Consider the following 26,729-nt stretch of genomic DNA (forward strand, 5'->3'; position numbering starts at 1 on the left):
CTATATGCATTCAATAGAAGCCAATCCACACCTTTAACACTTTCTTGGAAAATTCTTTAGTCAGACATTCTATTTAATCACTCACAAGTTCTACCTTCCAGGAAACACCAGGACACAAACACCATTTAGCCAAGTTCTTTGTCACTTTTTAACACGGGTTTTCTTCCTCTGTTGTCTAGTAACTTGCTCCTTATTTCTGTCTGAGACCTCATCAGGATGGCCTTTACTGTCCATACTTCTACCAGTATTCTTTTCACGAACTTTTAGGTAATTTCTAAGAATGTTAAACCTTTCTCTACAGCTTTATTCTTTTGAGCCTTCACCAGAATCACCCTTTTAGGTAATTTCTGAGAATGTTCAAGCTTTCTCTACAGCTTTATTCTTTTGAGCCTTTTCCAGAATCACCCTTTTAGGTAATTTCTAAGAATGTTCAAGCTTTCTCTACAGCTTTATTCTTTTGAGGCTTTACCAGAATCACCCTTTTAGGTAATTTCTAAGAATGTTCAAGCTTTCTCTACAGCTGTGTTATTTTGAGCCTGCACCATAATCACCCTTTATGGCCTTTATATAGTAATGTTGGCTTTTTTTTTTTTCAGCATGCACCTCAATTCTTCCAGCCCCTACCTATTACCCAGTTCCAAAGCCACTTTGACATTTTAGGTATTTGTTACAGCAGCACCCCCACCCACTTCTCAATACTAATTTGCCATCTTAGTCCATTCAGGCTGCTATAACAATAAACCATAAAATAGGTAGCTTACAGACAACAGAAATTTATTTCTCACAGTTCTAGAGTCTGGGAAGTCCAAGGGATCCAGGTGCTTGCAGATTCAGTGTCTGGCAAGGGTCTGAGTTCTGGTTCATATATGTATGAATTTATATATATATAAATTGCTAAGAGCACTTGTTCTCTGACTATTTCTATCTCATGACATCCTGTTCTTAAATTGAGGTACCATATCTTCATAATTGTCTCTGACTTTTATGTTCTCATCTATCCTTGAATTTTCTCTAAAGTCAGTTGCTTTATTTACCTTGATCTTAGTGTTCCCTGTTAAAAGATTCGCTCAAATGCCTCCTGACACATGGTTATTCATTCATATGTAATAACATGGCAATAGAAAAGTAAATTTCTGTACTGTATGTGCACAGGTATGTCAATTGGTAGGCTTCACATTAGGGTGAAAAACCATTCTGCTTTTATGCCCAATTGTCTGACATTTTATAATGGCATTGAAGGGAGTAGGGTTGTCTGAACCCCATCTTGCCCTTTATGTGGTGGTGGTTTCCTCTAACCAGCTGTGTTTTGAAAATCTCTTTATTATAATTTTCATGAGATTTTTCTTAGGAAAAGAAATGATGAATCTGGGTTTCAGATGCCATTGTGGTTTAGAACTCCTCTTATATCATTTAACAATTAAATGTTATGTTTCAGTCTTGACATGTAAAGGCTCTATGATCCAGCCTCAGTTTCCTTATTTGAAAAATGTGGATAAGGCTATGTACCCACAGTGCTGTCAGTAATAAATATGATTATGTAGGCAAAACACCTTGTACCATAATGGAACTTATAGGAAGCAATTAATAAGGATGACCGCCTCAATTTGGAGTACTGGTGACTCACAAATTAAAATATATCAACACTACTCGCAAATGCTTACAATCTATCCCAATGCCAGGCAAGCAAATACATACCGAAGATATAAATCAATAATTATTTTATTTATTATGTGTGTATAGAACTAGATGAAAACTGAAAAAGAAGTGCCTGCCTACTCTTGAGGAAACCAAGGAAGGGTTCCCAGAAGAAGTAATGCTTAATTCTGAACACATATAAAAAACAACTACTCACTTATCTAAATGCATTTTATTTTGTAGGCTTGAAATAAAATTATTTTAGGTAGCTGTTATTTTAGGTGGCTCTCTTTAGTTAGGCTAAATAATTTCATAGGATTTGGTTTTTACAAATACGACTCAGAAAACATTTTGTTTTCCTAAACAAAAAAATGAGTAATTTTATCATTATAAGATATTATATAATTATATATTTATGTGTGCCACATTCTTTGTTAGATACTGTCTAGATCACAGTTAATAATGTCTCTTTCTGCCAGCTATGGATTTAAATTCTCAGACATATTACTTATATAGAAAATGTTAAACAGCTACACCAGCATATAAACAAACATATTTACTTCTGCATCTAACTTTATGACTACATTTAGCTATAACCATAGAGTGACTGTCATAAAAGTGAAAGTATAAATTTAGCAAACCATTCTTTTTTTCTCATTATTTTCATTGAGCCATATGTGCACTGACATTGATGTGTTGTATATTTATTCTCCATCTATTCCAAAGGCTAAATTGAAGTAGCTTACAATGTATATATAATATCAAGGAGGTTTTTTTTAAAAAAAAATCAGGGAAAGGCAATTGGAGCAAAAAAAATAAAAGGTAAAATAATTAAAATGAAACCTATAGTTATGATAGAAATGCCTGGAGACTTAGGAAACTTACTCTAAGTAGACTACACATTTGATTCTGAAGTTTCTAACAAATTCAGAAAAGAATGCTGGTCATTTACATGCTTCAATATAACTACAAAATTTAAAAAATAATTACCTATACTTAAGAGAAGGCTGTTCATGGAACCAGCTATTTATCTCATAAAAAGGATACTCTATTTTGAAATGTATTCCATAAGACTTAAGTATAGGTTCATAAAATCTTTCATTAAATTCATGTTCTTTAGATGGTGGTCATTCTTGAATGCTTCTCTTTTCATCAGCTTCCATCGAGATCCAATCCGTTACCAGATCCTATCGATTTTACCAATCGTGTCATAAACCTTGTTTCTTTTTCCCTTCTTCACCTGTTCCACCCCGATTTAATGTAACATCATCTTTATACTAGACTGCCACAATAGACTCCTAAAAATCTTGTCTGAAATCTATCCTCTATATTAGAATGACAGCTAATTTTTAACAGAAATTTAAACCTTTAACAGAAATTTAAAAAGGTGCTTAAAATATTTCAGCTTCCCATCAACATTTGGATATAGATTGAATATGCTTAACATGGTCCAAAGTACACTTTCACTTTTGTGACAGTCACTATGATTTCGCAGCTTGCTCTTGGCTATATTTTGCATCATTACCCCTATTGCTTGCTAAGATTTAGCATTACTGGCCTTTGATTAGTTATTCAAACACATTTTAATTCCCCATACCAGAGGCCTTGGATGCCTTCTTTCATCCCCTGTTCAATCTAGTTAACTCATTCTGATACTTCACATTCCACCTAATATATCACTTTCTCTGACCTTTCAGACTATGTCACACTCCCCATTGTATGCTCTCACAGCACATATATAATTTGTAATTTTCACATTTATTTTGTGTTGGTAGAATGTTGGCCATGTCCTACCGTTTGTACTATCCAGGAGAGCAGGAATAGTGGTGTTTTTTTTTTCTAATTACTGTATCTCAGAAACCTAAAAGAGTGCCTGGAACACTATAAATTATCTAAAAATATCAATTGCATGAAAGAATTAATGGATAAATGATCTTATATAGTGATGTACTTTAGAATAACTGGAAATAGTCTAAATCACTCACTGTTATCTTAATAAATAATTTGAGCCTATATACCTGGAAAAAGACCTCAAGGTCAAATGTTCTTTGTTCTCAGTTAAATTCATGCCCATGAGTTTTCATAAGAGTCCTTTTGCACACAATTGAAATTGTTGAGGACACATATCTAAATTAAAATCACCCCCACTCCTGTAAGTTGTGAGCTGTAATTTTCCCTACAAAACTATTTTGAGAACATTTCTATTGCTTTTGAAAACCCCTCATTTATCTCACTCCTCGTTTCTTCCTAGTCTCACCCATTCAACAGCAACTGCACAAAAGTTCTGGCGCAATTAGGTCAAGGTTTGACACCAAGGGAATCTATTCCCATCTCCATTCTTAAATATGTGCATTCTAAGCGAAGACAATAGGTAGTAGTTGGTACAAAAGAATAACTGTTATGGGATGTATAATGGTAACCATGCTAAAAACCAGAGGAAAAGCAAAGATAAAATTTCCCCAAGTTTTATCACCTACAGCGGTATCAAGGCAAGGCAAGATTGAAAGATTGATCCAGTAACAAAATCGAGAGTCCATTGTTTAATTTAGAGTGTATAACTTATTTAAACAGTGAAAGCATGAGTAATCAAAGGTACTAGATTCACATGTCCCTTGTACAGGGCAATATCAAAATAAAAGGGGTCAGATCACTGCCTCATGGATGGTAAGACACCCTCTTGCTGAGGAGCTAAATTTGTGCTGTCATTAAGCTTCATGGCCTGTAACTCTATCCTAAAAGGAGTAAGGAAGCAAGCCTCATACCTCATCACAATCCAGGAAGCAATGATAAACTGTCTGGTGACAGTCTCTCAGGGGAGATTAGGGAGGCAAGTGAGAAATGTTCCTAGAGCAGCAATTCGTGAGCCTCCATGCTCTTATATTGCAGGAGGATCATGGGGTTTCTGCCAAGACTTTTGTCAGCTGCATTTTTACAGTGCATATGTGGCCTATGTGGACTCATGCAAGGTTGCTGGGGTACCATGGTGCGGTCATTTTCCTACAGACTGGTGAATGGAATCTCCAAATCCATAGCCTCTTCACCATTATACTATGTCTTAGACTGCCAAATTGAAGATTAAGGAGGATGAAAATATTTTCCTTATTCCTTTTTGTAATTAATTAAATGTTATTATTATCTGCCATTATTTGGTTATGAGTTTTGAATGTTATTTTCACTAATGATTTTATGCATTTTTTGAATTTTTACTTTCTTAATGTTTCCACATGTTACCAGAGACCAGTGACATGACAAAGTATTTGCCTAAACAGTAGCACAGAATGTCCTATGAATTTCCCTCAAAACAATTCATACATGGTTTCCTGTGGCTTGCTGTTAGAAAATCCTTTATTTGAGAGATTATATATTTGAAAGTTAACTTCAGATTTTACAAAATATATTACGATAGCTTAACCGATGACAATAACTAGATTGTAGGCTTCTTGATAACTGCAGCTGAAGTGAGTACCTTGCAGGGGGATGTAGGCATTAGACACATGGTCTACATTAAACAAATGCTTGTAAGTTGTCTTTTTTGTTAAAACGTTTTCTCTTTTATCTTTTACTAAATAGAAATGAAATTAATGTCACTCTGAAATTCACCAGTCGCTTTATTCGTCCTGCTGAAGCTTCACTACTATTAATTTCAAAACCCAAGAATGCAGTAAGAGGAATTACAATGACTTTTGCTCTTAAAGGCAAAGTCCTCGATTTTAAAGCCATTGTAAGTAAATTTTACCTACGATGTCTTTGCTTCTCTTATCAGACCATGAAGTATCAAAAGCATGTTATTGTTATACATTTTATCTCTAGGCAGCTGTTTCTTGAGTCATCCCTGTGCCATGGATACTTGTGATTTAAGTTAAAGCAGTTCTGGGCCTGTGTCTGTGTTTTTGCTGGACTAAGGGTTGATAGTTTATGCAGTAAAAAAGGACTTTCCTGTTCTCTGGCAGGAACTTTCATCAGTTTATCTTGTGTGTCCTGTAGATCAAATCTATTATAAAGATAAGACTAATGCTGGCATTTATTGAGAGGTGACGATGTTCCAGACAGAGTTCTAAGTATTTCTTTTTCAAAGGGTGGGGAAGAGAGATTTTTAAATCTTTATAAAATGGTTGTGACATTATTGTGATTGACTTTTTGTAGCCATTATCTCTTCTAAATATTAATTTCTACAATGGATGTATGGTACAGAATAAGTAAATTCATTAGATTGCCAGATTTCCAAATGGATTATAAAGAAATTTAGGTGTGCAGGGCAAGAGTGGTAAGCAGAGAAAATGACTGTAGGATGGTTGAGTGATGGCCTGTTGTTGAGGAAGGCACTGAGATGCTCATATGGACAGACTGTCTTTTGAGACAATGATGCTCAGAACAGGAAGTGGGCATTTGTCACTTCCTATGTGTAATCTTATTTCCTCCTGAATAATGAACATGTACTTTTCCCAACCCTCTCACACAAATTATCTGAAACAAGACATTGTTTTGTCACATGTGGCTAAGAGATATGGCTGGGCTTAGCCTGTCATTGGTGGTTCTGGGGGTAGACATGCAACTGTTTACTTCCCCATCTTCCCCTATATGGTCTTAAGTCACTGGAAAGCAGATTAGATAATAAAAACAAAATAAAATAAAACAGTAAAATAATCTTTCTGAAATTATAGAATACCTAGAAAGTTTTTCTCCATGGAATTTCTTTTGATAGTGGGAAGTACTGTCAGTGTAATATTAAATGGACGGTTTATAGATTTTTAAGATTATATTTTATAATTCAGAAAGTTCATTTTTTGTTATTATCATGTGGTAAGACTTTATTTTTTTACTTTAGGACATTATAAAATGCGAAAGCCCATGTTATCAATTTCAGGAAGTCACTGTAAATGTGAAAAACCCCTTCCATACGGCTGGGGACTTCAGGTAAGTTATTGTTTTGGTGTAAATTCATTGCAATTAGCTCTATCTCCACTCTGAAGAGACATATGTGATTTTCTTTCTTTCTTTTTTTTTTTTTTTTTTTGAGACAGTCTCGCTCTGTGGTCAGGCTGGAGTACAGTAGCACCATCTTGGCTCACTGCAGCCTCCACCTTCCAGGTCAAGCGATTCTCCTGCCTCAGCCTCCCAAGTAGCTGGGACTACAGGGGTGCCCCACCACACCCAGCTAATTTTTGTATTTTTAGTAGAGATGGGGTTTCACCATGTTGGCCAGGATGATCTCGATCTCTTGACCTCGTGAGCCACCCGCCTTGGTCTCCCAAAGTTCTGGGATTACAGGCATGAACCACCGCGCCTGGCCGTAATTTTCTTCATCTCTTCAACATGAACCATTTCGAGCAGAAATTATATGTGTTCAAATTCCTATAAACTTCTAAGCACCATCAGAAAAAATTAAACAGCTAATTAAAGTAAATCAGTTTTCCTGAAATGATCATACTAAATTTATGAGTTTTGTCTGCAAGTTGTTTGTTGAAATTCAGTGTTCTTTCAATTATTAAAAAATATGTATAATTAATAGATTTTTTACTTCTAATTTTATTCTGTACATGTCCAAAATTGAAATATCAATTTAAGCAGAAAAAAACATTTTTACTTAGAGCATCATAACTAATTTATACTGCACAATCAATGTGCATGTGTTCATCTTAAGATTTAATAATAATAACAAAAATACATATTTGTGATAAAAAGACAATAAAATTTTCAAGTATTATTTAATGACACAATAGAAAAGTAACTTCCTGGAAATGTACACCACGTTGAGGAAGACGACGGAAGGTGATACCTTCTGTGCTGATTAAACTAGGAACTCTGTTTTTTCCAGCTTCAGCTATCAGATTCTTATGATACTTATATTGAAACTGGAAGTTATAATATGCTTATTATTTTACTATTTGATAATTTCCAGTTCTTTTAATCACTGTATGTAAAGGATTTTGGTAATTTCTTATCTTTCTCTAATAATTTTGGTCATTTTGTTTTAAAAAATATTGTTTTGAAACAGTGATTGGTAAATACCTGGTTCCTAGGTGCATGTAAGAGAGAATATGATTTAGTGCAATTTTATTAAAGTGATACATTGGAGTATAAGAAACACAAAATTTTAGAATATATGGTGTGTTAACACAGTATTAAAGTATGCCCTTAAGTAGACCAAATGACTGACTGCAGTTCCTCAGAGAAAAACAGGATCAAACAAATTTAGTCTTACATTCTAGTGTTAAAGCAGAAAGAAAATCTGGATATGCCAGAAATTGGGAGAATATTACAGATACATATTTCTCAAATAACAGTAATATTTTAACATGTCTTTATGTTGTATCTCAGATTTAATTAAAATGGTTAATGCTTATAAGGGGTTTGTGGTTTGATAGGAAGCAAAATTGTTAATCAAGTGATTTTAACTATATCCTTCCTTTGAATATGTCCCTCAAACTTAGGCAATGGACAAATAAACTCAAAAATATAAAACCAATTTCAAAATGTGCAAAACCAATATTGTGTAAGAGTCATATATTATGTTTGAAATTTTAACATAATAAAATAGATTGAATAAGAAGGAATTTGACCAATTAATTAATATAGAAACTATTTTTAAGTTATAACCAATATAACAAGAGACCCAGTTTTTAATATTACACTTAATAAATGATTGACTTGGTTATTATTAGCAGTCTCATATTAAACATACTTTAAAATAAAATAAAAATATCCCCATATATTCCCCAATATTGTATGCATAAGTGACAAGAATTGATCATGTTTTATCAAAATTTCACATTACTTTGAACAAATAAGGCAATCCAGTCTATATTTAACAGAGATAGGATTAGCTGACCAGGTTGTTAATTCCCATGCCTTGCTCCCAGACTGGTGATTCTCAAATTCTTCTTTTGCAGAACACCACTATTTCATGCTCTATAATGCTGTTTTTTAATTTTATATTTGATAAGATTTAGTTTGCTAGTACAGTATTTTATTGAGGATTTTGCCTGTACAATTATAATATTTAATAGTGTAATTGCCTTTTTCAGTGATTTGTCTGTTTTTGTATGATTAATATTAACCTTATAGAATTATTTCTGAAATGTTACCTTCTATTCTATTGTTTGGAATACTTTGTGAAGGATTGGTATTAGTTATTTGAATGTTTGATATAATTCACAGGTGAAGCCATCTGGTTCTGAGCTTTGCTTTGTGGAAGTTTATATAATTACTAATTCCATCTCTTTGTTATGAGCCTGTTCAGATTTTCTGTTTCTTCTCAAATCGGTTTTGCTAGTTTATTTTATTCCAGAAATTTCTGCATTTCTTCTAAGTTATCTAATTTGTTGGCACAGAGGCTTTCAGAGTATTCCCTTATAATCCTTTTTTAATTTCTGAAAGGCAAATAGTGATGTTCCTCCTTCTATCCCTTATTTTAGTAATTTAATTCGTTTATATTCTTGATCAGTCTAGGTAATAATTTGTCATTTCACTGATCTTTTAAAAAAATTCCTTCTGCTTTCCTTGATGTTCTCTATTGTTTTACTATCCTCTATTTTATTTCTGTGCTAACTTTTTTGGATATTAATTATTTCCTTCTATTTGCTTTGTGTTTAGATGTCTCTTTTTTTTCTCACTTCTTAAGGTGAAAATTTAGATTATTATTATGAGATTTTTTTTCATATAGGCATTTTTATCTACATATTTCTCTCTAAGGACTGCTTGAGCTTCATCTCATATGTTTTGGAATGTGTTATTTTTATCTTCATTAATCTTAAATTATTATTATTACTTTTGAGACAGAGTTATGTTCTTGCCCCCAGGCTGAAGTGCAATGGCGTGATCTCGGCTCACTGCAACGTCTGCCTCCCGGTTTCAAGTGATTCTCTTGCCTCAGCCTCCTGAGTAGCTGGGATTACAGGCGCCTACCACCACACCCAGCAAATTTTTGTATTTGTAGTAGAGATGAGGTGTCACCATATTGGCCAGGCTGGTCTCGAACTCTTGACCTCAGGTGATCCACCCACCTTGGCCTCCCAAAGTGCTGGAATTACAGGCATGAGCCACCATGCCCAGTAATCTTAAATTATTTTTAATTTCTTTTTTATTTCTTGCTAACCCACCAGTTATTTCGGAGTATGTTGTTTAATTTCCCCATGTTTGTTAATTTTCAACTTTTCTGTCACTAATTTTATTCCATTCAAGTTAGAGAGCATACTTTGTATTATTTAAATCATTTTAAATTTATGAAGATTTGTTTTATGGCGTATCATAAGGTCCATACTGCAGAATGCTCATGAGAAGAATCTATATTTTGCTGTTGTTGAGTAAAGTGTTCTATAGGTACCTCTTAATTTTAGTTGGTTTATAATATTGTATAAGACATATTTTCTTGTAGATTTTCTGCCTAAATTTTTCTATTCATAATTAAAAGGGCAGTATTTAACTATCTAACTATTAATGTTGATCTGTTCATTTCTCCCTTCACTTATGTCAGTTTTACTTTCTGTCTTTTGGTGCTCTAAAATTCAGTGAATATATATTTATAGTAATTTTATCTTCCTGATTGTTCATATAAAATGTCTCTATCTATAGTTACAATTTTTGTTTCAAATTCTATCATGTCTTGTATTAGTATAGCTACTTCAACATTCTTGTGGTTGTGTGTATGATATATAATTTTTCATCCTTTTACTTTCAATCTATTTTTTATCTTTCAATCTAAAGTATGTCTCCTTTATATAGCATATGGTCAGATTTGGGGGTTTTGTTTTGTTTTAATAGCTTCATTAAGATAACATTTATATGAAAGAACTGCAGGTATTTACTGTGTACATTTTGATGAGTTTAGACATGTGCAAACACCCATGATATCATTACCATAATCAAAGGAACAGAAATTTCCAACACCTCCCAAAGTTCTCTTGTGTCCCTTTGGTTTTCTGGTTTGTTTGTTTGTTTGTTTTTTGGTAAAAACACTTAGCATGATATCTACCCTCTTACATTTTGAAGTGCATGATATTGTTAACTATTGGCACTATATTTTATAGTGGATGTCTATAACTTACTCATCTAAAAGTATAATTGAAACTTTATACCCATTGAACAACAACTCTCCATTTCCGTAAACCCACAGCTACTGTCAGTCATGATGGCCTTCTTCGCTTCTATGAGTTTGACTACTGTAAACACTTCATATCAATGGAATTATGCTTATTTATAATTCTGTGACTGACTTATTTCACTTAGCATAATGTCCTCCAGGTTCATCCACGTTGTTACAGATGCAAGACTTCCTCTTTTTTTAGTCAGAATAATTTTCTATTGTATGTGTATATTACTCACTGCTTTAGATTGCATTATTTAATCAATTCACAAATTTGTTATTATTGACACAGTTGATTTTACTTTTGCCAATTTCCATTTAGTTTGCTATATTGTATGTCTTTTTGTTTGTTTCTCTATTAGTCCATGACTTCTTTTTTTAATAATAGTGAATATTTTTCAATGCAGGATTTTAATTTTTAAAGGCTTTTTCAAAATATTTTTGAATTTGTTTTCTTAATGATTGCACCAGAGTTTACCATAGACATTTTTACTTATCATAATCAACTTCAGATATATACTAACTTAATTCCAGTAAGATTCACAACGTGTTACTCTTATATAGCTCTATTCCCTTTCCATTCTTTTCCTGGTGGTATTGTCATACATATTACATCAATATTACATACCCAACAATATATTGCTATAATTATTACTTTATATAATTTGTATGACTTTGAGAAAGCTGGGAGAAAGTGTATTGGTTTACTAGGGTTTCCATAACAAAACACCACAGATCAGATGGAATAAACTACAGAAATTTATGTTCTTAGAGTTCTGGCAGTTAGAAGTCCAAGATTAAAACACCGTCATTTTTTCTTTATTCTGAAACTTTTCTCCTTGGCCTACAGATAGTTGTCTCCTCATTTTGTCTTTTTTCTGTGAATGTATATCCCTGATATCTCTTTGTGTTTTCAAATTTCCTTCTTCTTATAAGGACATAATTCAGATTGGATTAGGACCCACCCTGAGGGCCTTAACTTAATTATCTACTTAAAGGCTCTTTCTCCAAATACAGTCACATTTGGAGATACCGGGGTTAGGGCTTCAACATATGAAGTTGGAGGGGACAAACTTCAGCCCATAACAAACAGCAAGTATATATCTATAGTTTTTTATATTTTAACCTTCCTACTTATTATTTCCATTTCTCTTCATTTGTTCGCATGGATTGTTGCTACCATATAGAATAATTTCTGTGACCTGATCCAGCTTTCATCTCACCCACTTTATTTTTTGAACATTTTTTCTCTTCTTTTTCCTCTCTCCTTTTTTTATTCAGGTAATTTCATTGCCCACATTTTGTTCTTAATGGTGTGCCTACCATACATACGTCAGATTCTATTTACTTTTCTTCATTTTTTTCTCTGTTCTTCAGAATGTGTAATCTCTACCAATCTTCAAGTTTGTTAGTTCTTTCTTCCCCCAATTCAAATCTACTATTAAGCCCTTGAGTGAATTTTTATCTCTCTTATTGTAGCTTCCATCTCCAAAATTTCCATTTGTTTCTTTTTTTTATAATTTCAATTTCTTTGTTGATATTCTCTATTTGATGCCACATTGTCATCATGCTTTCCTTTACTTCTTTAATTATAGTTTCCTTTATTTCTTTGAAGATATTTATAATGGCTATTTTAAATTTGATTTCTGTTCAATCTGATACCTGGGTTACTCTAACAGGCAGTTTCTACTGTCTGTTACTTTTCTTCTTTTTGTGTGTGTGTGTTTCATGTTTATGAAATACAGTAGACATTGTAGACAATATATTATGCCAATTCTAGATATGTGTTCTATCTGCCCCAGGCTTGCTAATGTTCTTTGCACTTCTAATTTTTTTACTGACTGGCTGGGTTATTTTGGTGATGTCTATCTCCCCCTGCTCAAACCTACACACACATAGTGTTAAGGCTCTGATGTTGCTTGTCAAAGGCCACCGTCTTTGGCATGCCCACAATTACCCTGGGATTACAGTGGTTTTGGCAGGGCTCCCTGTGTGTTTTCCTGACCACACCCTTCTGTTAAATTCCCTGCGTGGGGTGGGGGTGGATAAGTTACTCTTCAAGCTAATTCAGTCAACTTCAGACCTCTTTGAAAAAACAGTTCTATAAATCATTGTTTAAGATTTTTTCTGACTCCAGGAGGACTTCTAGCAGTCTCCTTCACCAGTTCTCTCCAGCAAACTAACAGGCCTGTAGTTTAGCTTGCATCTTTGTTGATCTACCAATCTCCATCCAATTGTATTTCACCATAACTGGCACTATTTCTGAGAAATTCAACTTTCGCTTGAATTTCTCCACACATTATTGAAAATGAAATCAGTACTTTGGGAAGCGATTAGGAGCTATTCATTTTAAAGCCCGCTTCTCTCCTCAGGGAAAATATCTGATCCATGACTCTAGAGCTAGGGGTGGGGACAATGGTGCACTTTTTCTTCAGCAAACCCTCCATTTTAGGAGCTGAGTGCTAGGTGGGCAAGGGGGCAAAATAGCCTCAGGATTTTTTGACTTGCTTCTCCCAGTGTGGAACTACCACCTTACGAACTGGGCAAAGGCAGTTGGGGTTTCAGTATTTTCAGCAGTGCCACACTCGTGAGAGCTTCAGTCCGTGAGTGGGTGCTGGGTAGAAGAAAAGAGCTTCTCACGGTCTCTCAACTGCGCTTGCCCAGAACCTAGCCTTAGCAACATGTACTGAGGTGAAGATGTTGGTATCCCATGCCTCCCAGAAACATAGGCCTCCAAATGGGAGCCAGGGGAAGGAAGAGCCCTATGTTCTTGGCAAAAACAGTCTGAAACTAAGTTTCTTTTTTGTTGAGCTTGAAAGGAAGAAGGAGATAGAGTTCTTGGTTCAAATATCACAGACTACTGGTTTTCTTATTATATTTTAGTTTATTTTGTTTAAAGATTTTTCTTAATTTCCTGTATGCCCTTAGAACAATCTCCAGAGAATTTCAAAGTGTTTTTTTGGGTTTCCTTGTTTGTTTGTTTTGTTTTTACTCATTTGCTTGGGGTGAGAGTCCAAGGATCTCTCATGGTGTCAGGCTTAATGTTGGTCTTAAATATTATTTTATCTGTTATTAAGATAGCCACTCCAGCTCCTTTTTTATTACTATTTTCATGGTATTCCTTTTTAAATCTTTTTAATCCCAATTGGTTTGTGTTTTTGAACCCAAAGTTTGTCTCTTTTCTTTTACCCATCTTGTCAATCTTTCCTGTTTGATTGAAGTGTTTAGTCTGTTAAATTTAAGTCAATCTGTAATCTAGTAGATTTTATATGTCACTTTTATATTTCCTTTATATATGACTAATGTCTTTGTTCATCTATTTCTCTGTTACTGCCTGAGTTTTTTAATAGTTATTTTGTATAACATTTTAATTCCTTTTAGTTCCTTTTACTTCATGATTTTCTAATTGTTTTCTTAATAGTTACCCTGAGGATTACAATCAGCGTCTAATGTAAAACAATCTAACTCAGATGAATACCAACTGAATTTCAATATAACTCAGAAACTTTGTATCTGCAATGTATCTCTTTTTCCTAGCCTTTCCCTAGTGTTATTATACCAATTTCATCTTAATGCATTATAAGCCCATAAAGCAGTTTTATATTTATTGTCCTACTCCTGCTTATTTTACGCTTATTTTTTTTTGTCTTTTTCTTTTTCTTCCCTTTTGTGGAGAACAGGGTCTCGCTATATTGCCCAGGCAGGTCTCGAACTCCTGGGCTCAAGCTATCCTGCCGCCTCTGCCTCCCTGAGAGCTGGGATTACAGGCATGAGCCACCGCACCCAGCCCTCCTGCTTATTTTAAATGAGAAAGGCAAATATAAAGAGTTGCAAAGAAAATGAAAATTTACAGCTTGTTTTTAAATATATATTTACCAGTGTAGTCACCTTTCTTCATGCCTTTTATTACCTCTTGTGGTTTTGATTAATTTCTTGTGTCCTTTTATCTCAGCTGAAATATTTCTTGTGCCACAGTTCTGCTAGTAATGAATTGTTTTAGTTATTCTTTACTTTAGAATATCTTTTCTCCTTCATTTTTGAAGGACAGTTTTTTTGTTTTCTTCTCTTTTTTTAAAAATTTTTTTGAAGGAGAGTTTTTTCTGTATACATTGTACTTCATCAACTCGATTTCTTGCAGTGTACTGAATACATAATCCTATTGTCTTCTATCTTCCAGCATTTCAGATGGAAAGTCAGCTGTTAATCATATTAAGGAGCCACTGTAGACACTGAGTCAATTTTGTATTGCTACTTACAAGATTGTCTATATCTTAGCCTTTCCACTGTTTGATTATTATTATCTATATGTGGATTGCCTTAAGTTTATCCTACAAAGTGTTCTTTGTGCTTCTTGGATGGGGAAATTAATGTTTTTCATCAAATTTTAGAAGTATTCATTCTTTATTTTTAAAATGTTTTTTTTTTTTACCTCTTTCTCTCTCTTGTCTTTTGGAAATTCTCATTAGACTTATGTTGGTGTCCCACAGGCATCTGGAGCTCTGTTAGTTTTTCTTTATTATTTTTCTCCCTGTTCCTCAAAAGAAATAATATCAATTGACGTATTTTTAAATGCACTGCTTCTTTTTTTCTTTTGCCATACCAAACCTGCTGTTGAGCCCCTCTAGTAATTTTTAGTTTCAGGGATGTTATTTTTCAATTCTAGAATTTCTAATTGGTTCTTTTGTATCATTTCTATCTATTTAATTGATGTTGTCTATTTGGTGACACATCATTGTATCTCATATGCAGCATTAAAGATCTTTGACATATTTTGGGGATCAGGCAAGTTAGTTTAATCCAACACATGGGCATCTTTTCCCCCATATGTTCCTCTCATGTTTCATCAGGCTTTTGTTTGACCCAACTGCTGCAGCAATCTCACACATAATTGCTGTGGATTGATTTCAGCAAACATCCTGGTGTGGTAGGTGTTCTCCCTTAAGTCAGGTCAAATAAAGACAAATGCATTACAAATTAAGGCTTGAAGTTTTCCAGGAAGCAGCAAGACAGGATAGATAAAAACAGTGCTCAGGAATAAGATTTTTTTGAAGAAGTCCAATCTCAGTCTTTCCCTTCTTCAGGTTGTAAGCTACAGAGTTTTACAACTTCCGTGGATGCAAGGCTGCTGCAGAGCTGTCAAAAGGAGGATGGGAGTTACAACACACAAGTTCCAATGCAACAAACTCCACTGATCTTACCAAAGTTTGGAGTTTTTCTTGGATAAACACTACTCCTGAGATTGTTGCATGCCTCTCTGTATTTACCAGTGTTCTGAAAAAGTAAATTTTCACAACCCTTACCTGTGGTTTTTGTTGCTTATATAGAGGGATAAATGTATGGTGGTTCTTTTTATTTATTTATTTATTCATTATTATTATACTTTAAGTTTTAGGGTACATGTGCACAATGTGCAGGTTAGTTACATATGATACATGTGCCATGCTGGTGCGCTGCACCCACTACCTCGTCATCTAGCATTAGGTATATCTCCCAATGCTATCCCTCCCTCCTCCCCCGACCCCACAACAGTCCCCAGAGTGTGATGTTCCCCTTCCTGTGTCCATGTGTTCTCATTGTCAATTCCCACATATGAGCGAGAATATGCAGTGTTTGGTTTTTTGTTCTTGTGATAGTTTACCGAGAATGATGATTTCCAATTTCATCCATGTCCCTACAAAGGACATGAACACATCATTTTTTATGGCTGCATAGTATTCCATGGTGTATATGTGCCACATTTTCTTAATCCAGTCTATCATTGTTGGACATTTGGGTTGGTTCCAAGTCTTTGCTATTGTGAATAATGCCGCAATAAACATACGTGTGCATGTGTCTTTATAGCAGCATGATTTATAGTCCTTTGGGTATATACCCAGTAACGGGATGGCTGGGTCAAATGGTATTTCTAGTTCTAGATCCCTGAGGAATCGCCACACTGACTTCCACAATGGTTGAACTAGTTTACAGTCCCACCAACAGTGTAAAAGTGTTCCTATTTCTCCACATCCTCTCCGGCACCTGTTGTTTCCTGACTTTTTAATGATTGCCATTCTACCTGGTGTGAAATGGTATCTCATTGTGGTTTTGATTTGCATTTCTCTGATGGCCAGTGATGGTGAGCATTTTTTCATGTGTTTTTTGGCTGCATAAATGTCTTCTTTTGAGAAGTGTCCGTTCATGTCCTTTGCCCACTTTTTGATGGGGTTGTTTGTTTTTTTCTTGTAAATTTGTTTGAGTTCATTGTAGATTCTGGATATTAGCCCTTTGTCAGATGAGTAGGTTGCAAAAATTTTCTCCCATTTTGTAGGTTGCCTGTTCACTCTGATGGTAGTTTCTTTTGCTGTGCAGAAGCTCTTGAGTTTAATTAGATCCCATTTGTCAATTTTGGCTTCTGTTGCCATTGCTTTTGGTGTTTTAGACATGAAGTCCTTGCCCATGCTTGTGTCCTGAATGGTAATGCCTAGGTTTTCTTCTAGGGTTGTTATGGTTTTAGGTCTAACGTTTAAGTCTTTAATCCATCTTGAATTAATTTTTGTATAAGGTGTAAGGAAGGGATCCAGTTTCAGCTTTCTACATATGGCTAGCCAGTTTTCCCAGCACCATTTATTAAATAAGGAATCCTTTCCCCATTGCTTGTTTTTCTCAGGTTTGTCAAAGATCAGATAGCTGTAGATATGTGGCGTTATTTCTGAGGGCTCTGTTCTGTTCCATTGATCTATATCTCTGTTTTGGTACCAGTACCATACTGTTTTGGTTACTGTAGCCTTGTAATATAGTTTGAAGTCAGGTAGTGTGATGCCTCCAGCTTTGTTCTTTTGGCTCAGGATTGACTTGGCGATGCGGGCTATTTTTTGGTTCCTTATGAACTTTAAAGTAGTTTTTTCCAATTCTGTGAAGAAAGTCATTGGTAGCTTGATGGGGATGGCATTGAATCTATAAATTACCTTGGGCAGTATGGCCATTTTCACGATATTGATTCTTCCTACCCATGAGCATGGAATGTTCTTCCATTTGTTTGTATCCTCTTTTATTTCCTTGAGAAGTGGTTTGTAGTTCTCCTTGAAGAGGTCCTTCACATCCCTTGTAAGTTGAATTCCTAGGTATTTTATTCTCTTTGAAGCAATTGTGAATGGGAGTTCACTCATGATTTGGCTCTCTGTTTGTCTGTCGTTGGTGTATAAGAATGCTTGTGATTTTTGTACATTGATTTTGTATCCTGAGACTTTGCTGAAGTTGCTTATCAGCTTAAGGAGATTTTGGGCTGAGACAATGGGGTTTTCTAGATATACAATCATGTCATCTGCAAACAGGGACAATTTGACTTCCTGTTTTCCTAATTGAATACCCTTTATTTCCTTCTCCTGCCTGACTGCCCTGGCCAGAACTTCCAACACTATGTTGAATAGGAGAGGTGAGAGAGGGCATCCCTGTCTTGTGCCAGTTTTCAAAGGGAATGCTTCCAGTTTTTGCCCATTCAGTATGATATTGGCTGTGGGTTTGTCATAGATAGCTCTTATTATTTTGAGATACGTCCCATCAATACCTAATTTATTGAGAGTTTTTAGCATGAGGGGTTGTTGAATTTTGTCAAAGGCCTTTTCTGCATCTATTGAGATAATCATGTGGTTTTTGTCTTTGGTTCTGTTTATATGCTGGATTACATTTATTGATTTGCATATGTTGAACCAGCCTTGCATCCCAGGGATGAAGCCCACTTGATCATGGTGGATAAGCTTTTTGATGTGCTGCTGGATTCGGTTTGCCAGTATTTTATTGAGGAATTTTGCAGCAATATTCATCAAGGATATTGGTCTAAAATTCTCTTTTTTGGTTGTGTCTCTGCCCGGCTTTGGTATCAGGATGATGCTGGCCTCATAAAATGAGTTAGGGAGGATTCCCTCTTTTTCTGTTCATTGGAATAGTTTCAGAAGGAATGGTACCAGTTCCTCCTTGTACCTCTGGTAGAATTCGGCTGTGAATCCATCTGGTCCTGGACTCTTTTTTGTTGGTAAGCTATTGATTATTGCCACAATTTCAGCTCCTGTTATTGGTCTATTCAGAGATTCAACTTCTTCCTGGTTTAGTCTTGGGAGAGTGTATGTGTCGAGGAATTTATCCATTTCTTCTAGATTTTCTAGTTTATTTGCGTAGAGGTGTTTGTAGTATTCTCTGATGGTAGTTTGTATTTCTGTGGGATCAGTGGTGATATTCCCTTTATCATTTTTTATTGTGTCTATTTGATTCTTCTCTGTTTTTTTCTTTATTAGTCTTGCTAGCAGTCTATCAATTTTGTTGATCCTTTCAAAAAACCAGCTCCTGGATTCGTTAATTTTTTGAAGGGTTTCTTTTGTCTCTATTTCCTTCAGTTCTGCTCTGATTTTAGTTATTTCTTGCCTTCTGCTAGCTTTTGGATGTGTTTGCTCTTGCTTTTCTAGTTCTTTTAATTGTGATGTTAGGGTATCAATTTTAGATCTTTCCTGCTTTCTCTTGTGGGCATTTAGTGCTATAAATTTCCCTCTACACACTGCTTTGAATGTGTCCCAGAGGTTCTGGTATGTTGTGTCTTTGTTCTCGTCGGTTTCAAAGAACATCTTTATTTCTGCCTTCATTTTGTTATGTACTCAGTAGTCATTCAGGAGCAGGTTGTTCAGTTTCCATGTAGTTGAGCGGTTTTGAGTGAGATTCTTAATCCTGAGTTCTAGTTTGATTGCACTGTGGTCTGGGAGACAGTTTGTTATAATTTCTATTCTTTTACATTTGCTGAGGAGAGCTTTACTTCCAAGTATGTCGTCAATTTTGGAATAGGTGTTGGGTGGTGCTGAAAAAAATGTATATTCTGTTGATTTAGGGTGGAGAGTTCTGTAGATGTCTATTAGGTCCACTTGGTGCAGAGCTGAGCTCAATTCCTAGGTATCCTTGTTGACTTTCTGTCTCATTGATCTGTTTAATGTTCACACTGGGGTGTTAAAGTCTCCCATTATTAATGTGTGGGAGTCTAATTCTCTTTGTAGGTCACTCAGGACTTGCTTTATGAATCTGGGTGCACCTGTATTGGGTGCATATATATTTAGGATAGTTAGCTCTTCTTGTTGAATTGATCCCTTTACCATTATGTAATGGCCTTCTTTGTCTCTTTTGATCTTTGTTGGTTTAAAGTCTGTTTTATCAGAGACTAGGATTGCAACCCCTGCCTTTTTTTGTTTTCCATTGGCTTGGTAGATCTTCCTCCATCCTTTTATTTTGAGCCTATGTGTGTCTCTGCATGTGAGATGGGTTTCCTGAATACAGCACACTGATGGGTCTTGACTCTTTATCCAATTTGCCAGTCTGTGTCTTTTAATTGGAGCATACAGTCCATTTACATTTAAGGTTAATATTGTTATGTGTGAATTTGATCCTGTCATTATGATGTTAGCTGGTTATTTTGCTCGTTAGTTGATGCAGTTTCTTCCTAGTCTCGATGGTCTTTACATTTTGGCATGATTTTGCAGCAGCTGGTACCGGTTGTTCCTTTCCATGTTGAGTGCTTCCTTCAGGAGCTCTTTTAGGGCAGGCCTGGTGGTGACAAAATCTCTCAGCATTTGCTTGTCTGTAAAGGATTTTATTTCTCCTTCACTTATGAAGCTTAGTTTGGCTGGATATGAAATTCTGGGTTGAAAATTCTTTTCTTTAAGAATGTTGAATATTGGCCCCCACTCTCTTCTGGCTTGTAGAGTTTCTGCCGAGAGATCCGCTGTTAGTCTGATGGGCTTCCCTTTGAGGGTAACCCGACCTTTCTCTCTGGCTGCCCTTAACATTTTTTCCTTCATTTCAACTTTGGTGAATCTGACAATTATGTGTCTTGGAGTTGCTCTTCTCGAGCAGTATCTTTGTGGCATTCTCTGTATTTCCTGAATCTGAATGTTGGCCTGCCTTGCTAGATTGGGGAAGTTCTCCTGGATAATATCCTGCAGAGTGTTTTCCAACTTGGTTCCATTCTCCCCGTCACTTTCAGGTACACCAGTCAGACGTAGATTTGGTCTTTTCACATAGTCCCATATTTCTTGGAGGCTTTGCTCGTTTCTTTTTATTCTTTTTTCTCTAAACTTCCCTTCTCGCTTCATTTCATTCATTTCATCTTCCATCACTGATACCCTTTCTTCCAGTTGATCGCATCGGCTCCTGAGGCTTCTGCATTCTTCACGTAGTTCTTGAGCCTTGGTTTTCAGCTCCATCAGCTCCTTTAAGCACTTCTCTGTATTGGTTATTCTAGTTATACATTCTTCTAAATTTTTTTCAAAGCTTTCAACTTCTTTGCCTTTGGTTTGAATGTCCTCCCATAGCTCAGAGCAATTTGATCGTCTGAAGCCTTCTTCTCTCAGCTCATCAAGGTCATTCTCCGTCTCTTTGTTCCGTTGCTGTTGAGGAACTGCGTTCCTTTGGAGGAGGAGAGGCGCTCTGCTTTTTAGAGTTTCCAGTTTTTCTGCTCTGTTTTTTCCCCATCTTTGTGGTTTTATCTACTTTTGGTCTTTGATGATGGTGATGTACAGATTGGTTTTTGGTGTGGATGTCCTTTCTGTTTGTTAGTTTTCCTTCTAACAGACCGGACCCTCAGCTGCAGGTCTGTTGGAGTACCCGGCCGTGTGAAGTGTCAGTCTGCCCCTGCTGGGGTGGTGCCTCCCAGTTAGGCTGCTCGGATGTCAGCAGTCAGGGACCCACTTAAGGAGGCAGTCTGCCCATTCTCAGATCTCCAGCTGCTTGCTGGGAGAACCACTGTTTTCTTCAAAGCTGTCAGACAGGGACATTTAAGTCTGCAGAGGTTACTGCTGTCTTTTTGTTTGTCTGTGCCCTGCCCCCAGAGGTGGAGCCTACAGAGGCAGGCAGGCCTCCTTGAGCTGTGGTGGGCTCCACCCAGTTCCAGCTTCCAGGCTGCTTTGTTTACCTAAGCAAGCCTGGGCAATGGCGGGCGCCCCTCCCCCAGCCTCGCTGCCGCCTTGCAGTTTGATCTCAGACTGCTGTGCTAGCAATCAGCGAGACTCCGTGGGCGTAGGACCCTCCGAGCCAGGTGCGGGATATAATCTCCTGGCGCGCCCTTTTTTAAGCCCATCGGAAAAGCGCAGTATTCAGGTGGGAGTGACCCGATTTTCCAGGTGCCGTCTGTCACCCCTTTCTTTGACTAGGAAAGGGAACTCCCTGACCCCTTGTGCTTCCCGAGTGAGGCAATGCCTCACCCTGCTTCGGCTCGTGCATGGTGTGCGCACCCACTGACCTGTGCCCACTGTCTGGCACTCCCTAGTGAGATGAACCCCGTACCTCAGATGGAAATGCAGAAATCACCCATCTTCTGCGTCACTCACGCTCGGAGCTGTAGACCGGAGCTGTTCCTATTCGGCCATCTTGGCTCCTCCAACTGTATGGTGGTTCTAATGCTGTAATTCTCTGCCTTTCTTTCACTGGTTGTCTAGTTTTGTAATTTGAAAAATATTTTATGTTTTAGCTTAGGCTCTTGCTTCTCAAAGTGTTATCCTTGGATCAGTAGCACCAGCATCACCTGGGAGCTTGCTAGAAAGACAAAATTTGAGGCCCACTTCAATCCAATTGAGTCAGAATCTGCATTTAATAACATCTCCAGAAGATTTGTTTGTACATTAATATTAGAATCACGTTGTTCTAGGTCAGCAGGTTTCAAAGTTTAATAAATGGGTGAGGCCAGGCTTGGTGGCTCATGCCTGTAATCCCAGCACTTTGGGAGGCCAAGGCGGAGGGATCATGAGGTCAGGAGTTCAAGACCAGCCTGGCCAACATGGTGAAACTCAGTCTCTACAAAAATTCAAAAAAATTAGCCGCGCATGGTGGCATGCACCTGTAATCCCAGCTACTTGGGAGGCTGAGGTGGAAGAATCACTTGAACCTGGAGGCTGAGGTTGCAGTGAGCGGAGATTGTGCCATTGCATTCCAGCCTGGGCGACAGAGTGAGACTCCGTCTAAAAAAATAAAAATAAAAAAATTAAATAAATGGGCAAACTATATTAAAAGCATCTTAAGAACTTGTTTTAAATAAAGATTTCTGGAACCCATTCCAGACCTGCGTAGAATTCATATAGGTAGAACTTTGGAAATCTGCATTTTGAACACACTTTAAGTAATTATTATGCAGATTGAAGTGTGAGAGCTGCTGATTTAGAAACTGCAGTTATCAAGTAGGATTATTTTTTTCTTTTAACAGGTAGTTCATATTGCATTTTTACAGTTAATATTTCTGTATATTTTAGGAAAACGTGCTCTTTGTATTTAAGCAGGGATGATTCAGACACATGTAGATTGCTATTTTGTCTCAAAATGGTGTATGTACAGTGTATAAAAATATGATATTTATTACGTTGGGCTAGTCATTTTATTTGTGTGTCAAATTTTATGATCCTTGTGACTACTTTTTAGCCAGAACAGATTATCACCAAAATAAATTTCTCCAATTAGTTACCTTGGATTTATAGAAATATAAATAAATGTTGGAATATTCTTCTGCCTCATAATTTTATGAAATTTAGATGAGAATTTAGAATTTAGTAGCTGACTTTAAATGTAAATTACTCTCTGGAGAGGAATTCTTCTTTATGTATTTGCCTAATTGTGACTTAATAATAATATAGGTGAATCTGGTAGTCTGAAAGATGTTTCACAAAGTTCACAGTTTACATTTTACTATAGTTAATTTTGTCTGTTTAAAAATTTTTAGTATTTAATATTCACATAATTCTTTATAATTCTTATATGAAAGCATCAGAAATATCAATTTAAAACAATAGTACAGAATCTGATGTTGGCATTAGTTCAGCCACTGTGGAAAGCAGTTTGGAGATTTCTCAAAGAACTTAAAATAGAGTTACCATTTGATCCAGCAATCGTAATAGTGGGTATATACCCAAAGATAAGCAAATCATTCTACCAGAAATACACATGCACTCGTATGTTCATTGCAGCACTATTCACAGTAAGAAAGACATGGAATCAACTTAGGTGCCCATCAATGGTGGATTGGATAAAGAAAACGTGGTACATATGCACCATGGAATACTCTGCAGCCATAAAAATGAAAGAGATCATGTTCTTTGCAAAAACATGAAAACAGCTGGAGGCCATCATCCTAAGAGAATTGATGCAGAAACTAAAAACCAATTACCACATGTCCTTATTTATAAGTGGGAGCCAAACATTGGGTACACATGGACATAAAGATGGGAACAATACACACTGGCAACTACTAGAGGGCAGAGGGATGGAGGGGCAAGGACTGCAATACTACCTATTGGGTACTATGCTCACTATCTGGGTAATGAGATCAATTATACCCCAAACCTCAGCATCATGCAATATACCTGTGTACCAACCCTGCACATGAACTCTCTGCATCTAAAATAAAAGTTGAAAGTTTTAAAAATAATAAAATAAAAAATAAAAATTTGACTAAAGAAAAAAATAGAATAAGAAAAATAATAAATTTTAGGATGTAGGAAAATGTGTTTTAGTTTATATGTGCAGAGTTGTGTGTGTGTTTGTGGGTGTGTGTGTGTGTATCAAGACAAAAACTTTTGATTAATTTATTACTAGCCTAGTTTTTCTCAAAAAGCTAGCATTTTGGGATCTCAATAACTGTTACATAATAAAAGGGGTTTCTTTTGATAAATCAAGTTTGGATATTTTATTCTTAACAATATTTGACACAATCTGTTCACTTCTGAAGGTAGAATTAGCCATTCGTGACATGAATTTTCATGACATCTTTAATGTACTGCTAAGGCATCATTTGTATGCTATTCCTACCCTATGATGTGAGCAGCCTGAGGCAAAAATGTTTGTGTTTCCAGAACCTCATGTCCTACAAGTAAGAAACAAATGCGTCTCTATAACTATTTCTTGAATATATGAGCATTGTCATATAGGAAGACTTTCCATTGCTGTGTGATTTCAGAAGATGGCATAATTATTAACATACTGATTGACTAGCTACCCACATCTCATGTCCACTCCTGAAAGAAACATTTTTCTTTTATGGAAATAGGTTTAGAAATTATGAAACGTGTACAGCTCTGGTGATGTGTAAGACCAGTGTGATATTTCCTGTTTGTTTCTGGAATATAATTTGACCAGTCACTTATCTTCTAAATGTCCTTGCTATGAGAATTCAGTGCTGCCATTCCATATAAAAAGATACTATGTTTCACATATTTCCATTCCCGATCTTTCCCTTCTTTCTAACATATATCTTTTGAGTTGCAGAATGAAAGCACATGGATTTTTTTAAACTGTAGTTTATTCTGATTCTAAGGATATTTTGTGAATGATAGGAAAAAATAAAAGAAGAATGTTTTGTGGTTATCGGAATTTTGTTGCAATCAATTAAAAATAATTATTTCTTCATTTATTCCAGTGTCATTTTGGTGGAATCCTCAACATTTGTCTCTTCGCCAACGAAGTTAACTGAATCCAGGCAATACCCGAAACATGAGTAAGTGTCTATATTTTGTACTCATAAGTATCTGAGAAAAAGTTTTGAGAAATAAGTAGTCAAGGAAACTAGTTATATAATTACACAATAGTTTACATTTATTCAAAATGTTTAATTTACCTAATTCACACTCATATCCAAATATATATTTATATGTTACTAGATTCATGTGCATAAAAATTGAATAAATCTGAACTTGATTAAATATAGTAGATTTTCATTATTTGTGGTAGTTATGTTCTATAAAATTTCTGCACATATTATGTTTGTGAATACTGAACCATTATTCCAAGAAGAAACACATATAATCATACAGATTACAATAGTAAACTCTAAAAATAACCTGTCATGGAAGACTCTATTTTCTTTTTTTTTTTACAAAATGAAAACAAAGTTCAGAAGTATCAGATGGCTTTCCTGACACTGCCCCAATAAAAGGCATCAGAGAAGGTATTCAAACCCTGTCCACTAGGCCTGAGTGTCTTGCATTACTCTGCACTGCCCACTATTGTCTCTACCTCTTGTCATCTCTATACTTTTATAAGGATTGAAATAAGAAGGCCCCTTGTCACCTTGTTTGACCTCAGCTGCGAATTGGTGCAACCGGTGATGAGAACTTTTCACCACTCTGTGCACGTCCTTTAACACCATGAACGCACCATGAGTATTGATTTTGGGGTTGCAAATACATTTTAGGAAGTAGGTGGATTTGCAAATATGGAATTCATGGATAATGAGGATTGACAGGATTTAAATTTATTCTACCTACTTTATGAGGGCTATATTTAGTTTATAAAGAAATTTGCTGAATAATGAAACAGGATTTTTAAAAAAATTGATTGTTTTATGTTGCTCCTCTGTTTTACACTATAGAATCACTATATAAAGTTAAGTACAATTAAAAACAATGTTATCAAGGTTAAAGAAAGTTAAGTAGAGAGAAAATAATGTAGATGTCTATTAATGAAATGCATGCCTATGTTGACCATTACTACTATGTTTTTAGTTTATTTCACACCCTTGTTTGTCTTTGTATAGTGCTTGACAGCATCAATATCATCCTTTTAGATCCAAAAATGTATCAAGGGGCAAGAATTTGACAATTTAGATGACAGGAATTCCCAGTGTCATTAGAAACCGTTAAAGTGCTTGTACAGATCTTGCTAAGATTAAAATGAGTATAGTTTTTATTTTTTCAAAAGTGACTTGTATTTAACTTAACACTTTTGGGAGATTATATGAGTTGCATCTATTATGAGATGTTTGATTCCTTCAATGGTTATTCTGTGAGAAAAGTTATTAAAGAAGAAACCATTTTTGTCTCACTGAATTTATTTTATTGAACGCCAATGTCATGCTTACCTAGGGCTTTTGAAGTCTTCTTTCACATTTTGCTTTAGTGAACAATAAAATATGAATTGATGTATTGAGCTATAAGGTAGCATTAAAGATACCAAAAGAATAAGAGGATTGCAGGTATTTTATGTTAATTTCTTTGTAGATGTGAAATTCAAGTTTTACTGAAGT

General features: G+C 35.7%; 1 protein-coding gene across 2 annotated transcripts in view; it reads left to right on the top strand.

The window, feature by feature from the left end:
• The window catches only part of CFAP47 (cilia and flagella associated protein 47), a 465,584-nt gene that overhangs the window by 234,487 nt on the left and 204,368 nt on the right, over positions 1-26,729 (top strand). For both annotated transcript variants that reach the window (NM_001304548.2, XM_017029452.2), the window contains exons 38-40: positions 5,206-5,356; positions 6,461-6,549; positions 25,125-25,202. In NM_001304548.2, the coding sequence (NP_001291477.1) occupies positions 5,206-5,356; positions 6,461-6,549; positions 25,125-25,202 (318 nt within the window). The remainder of the gene's footprint in view (positions 1-5,205; positions 5,357-6,460; positions 6,550-25,124; positions 25,203-26,729) is intronic.

This window comes from Homo sapiens, chromosome X, assembly GCF_000001405.40.
Source record: "Homo sapiens chromosome X, GRCh38.p14 Primary Assembly".
In the NCBI taxonomy this organism is placed as follows: domain Eukaryota; kingdom Metazoa; phylum Chordata; class Mammalia; order Primates; family Hominidae; genus Homo; species Homo sapiens.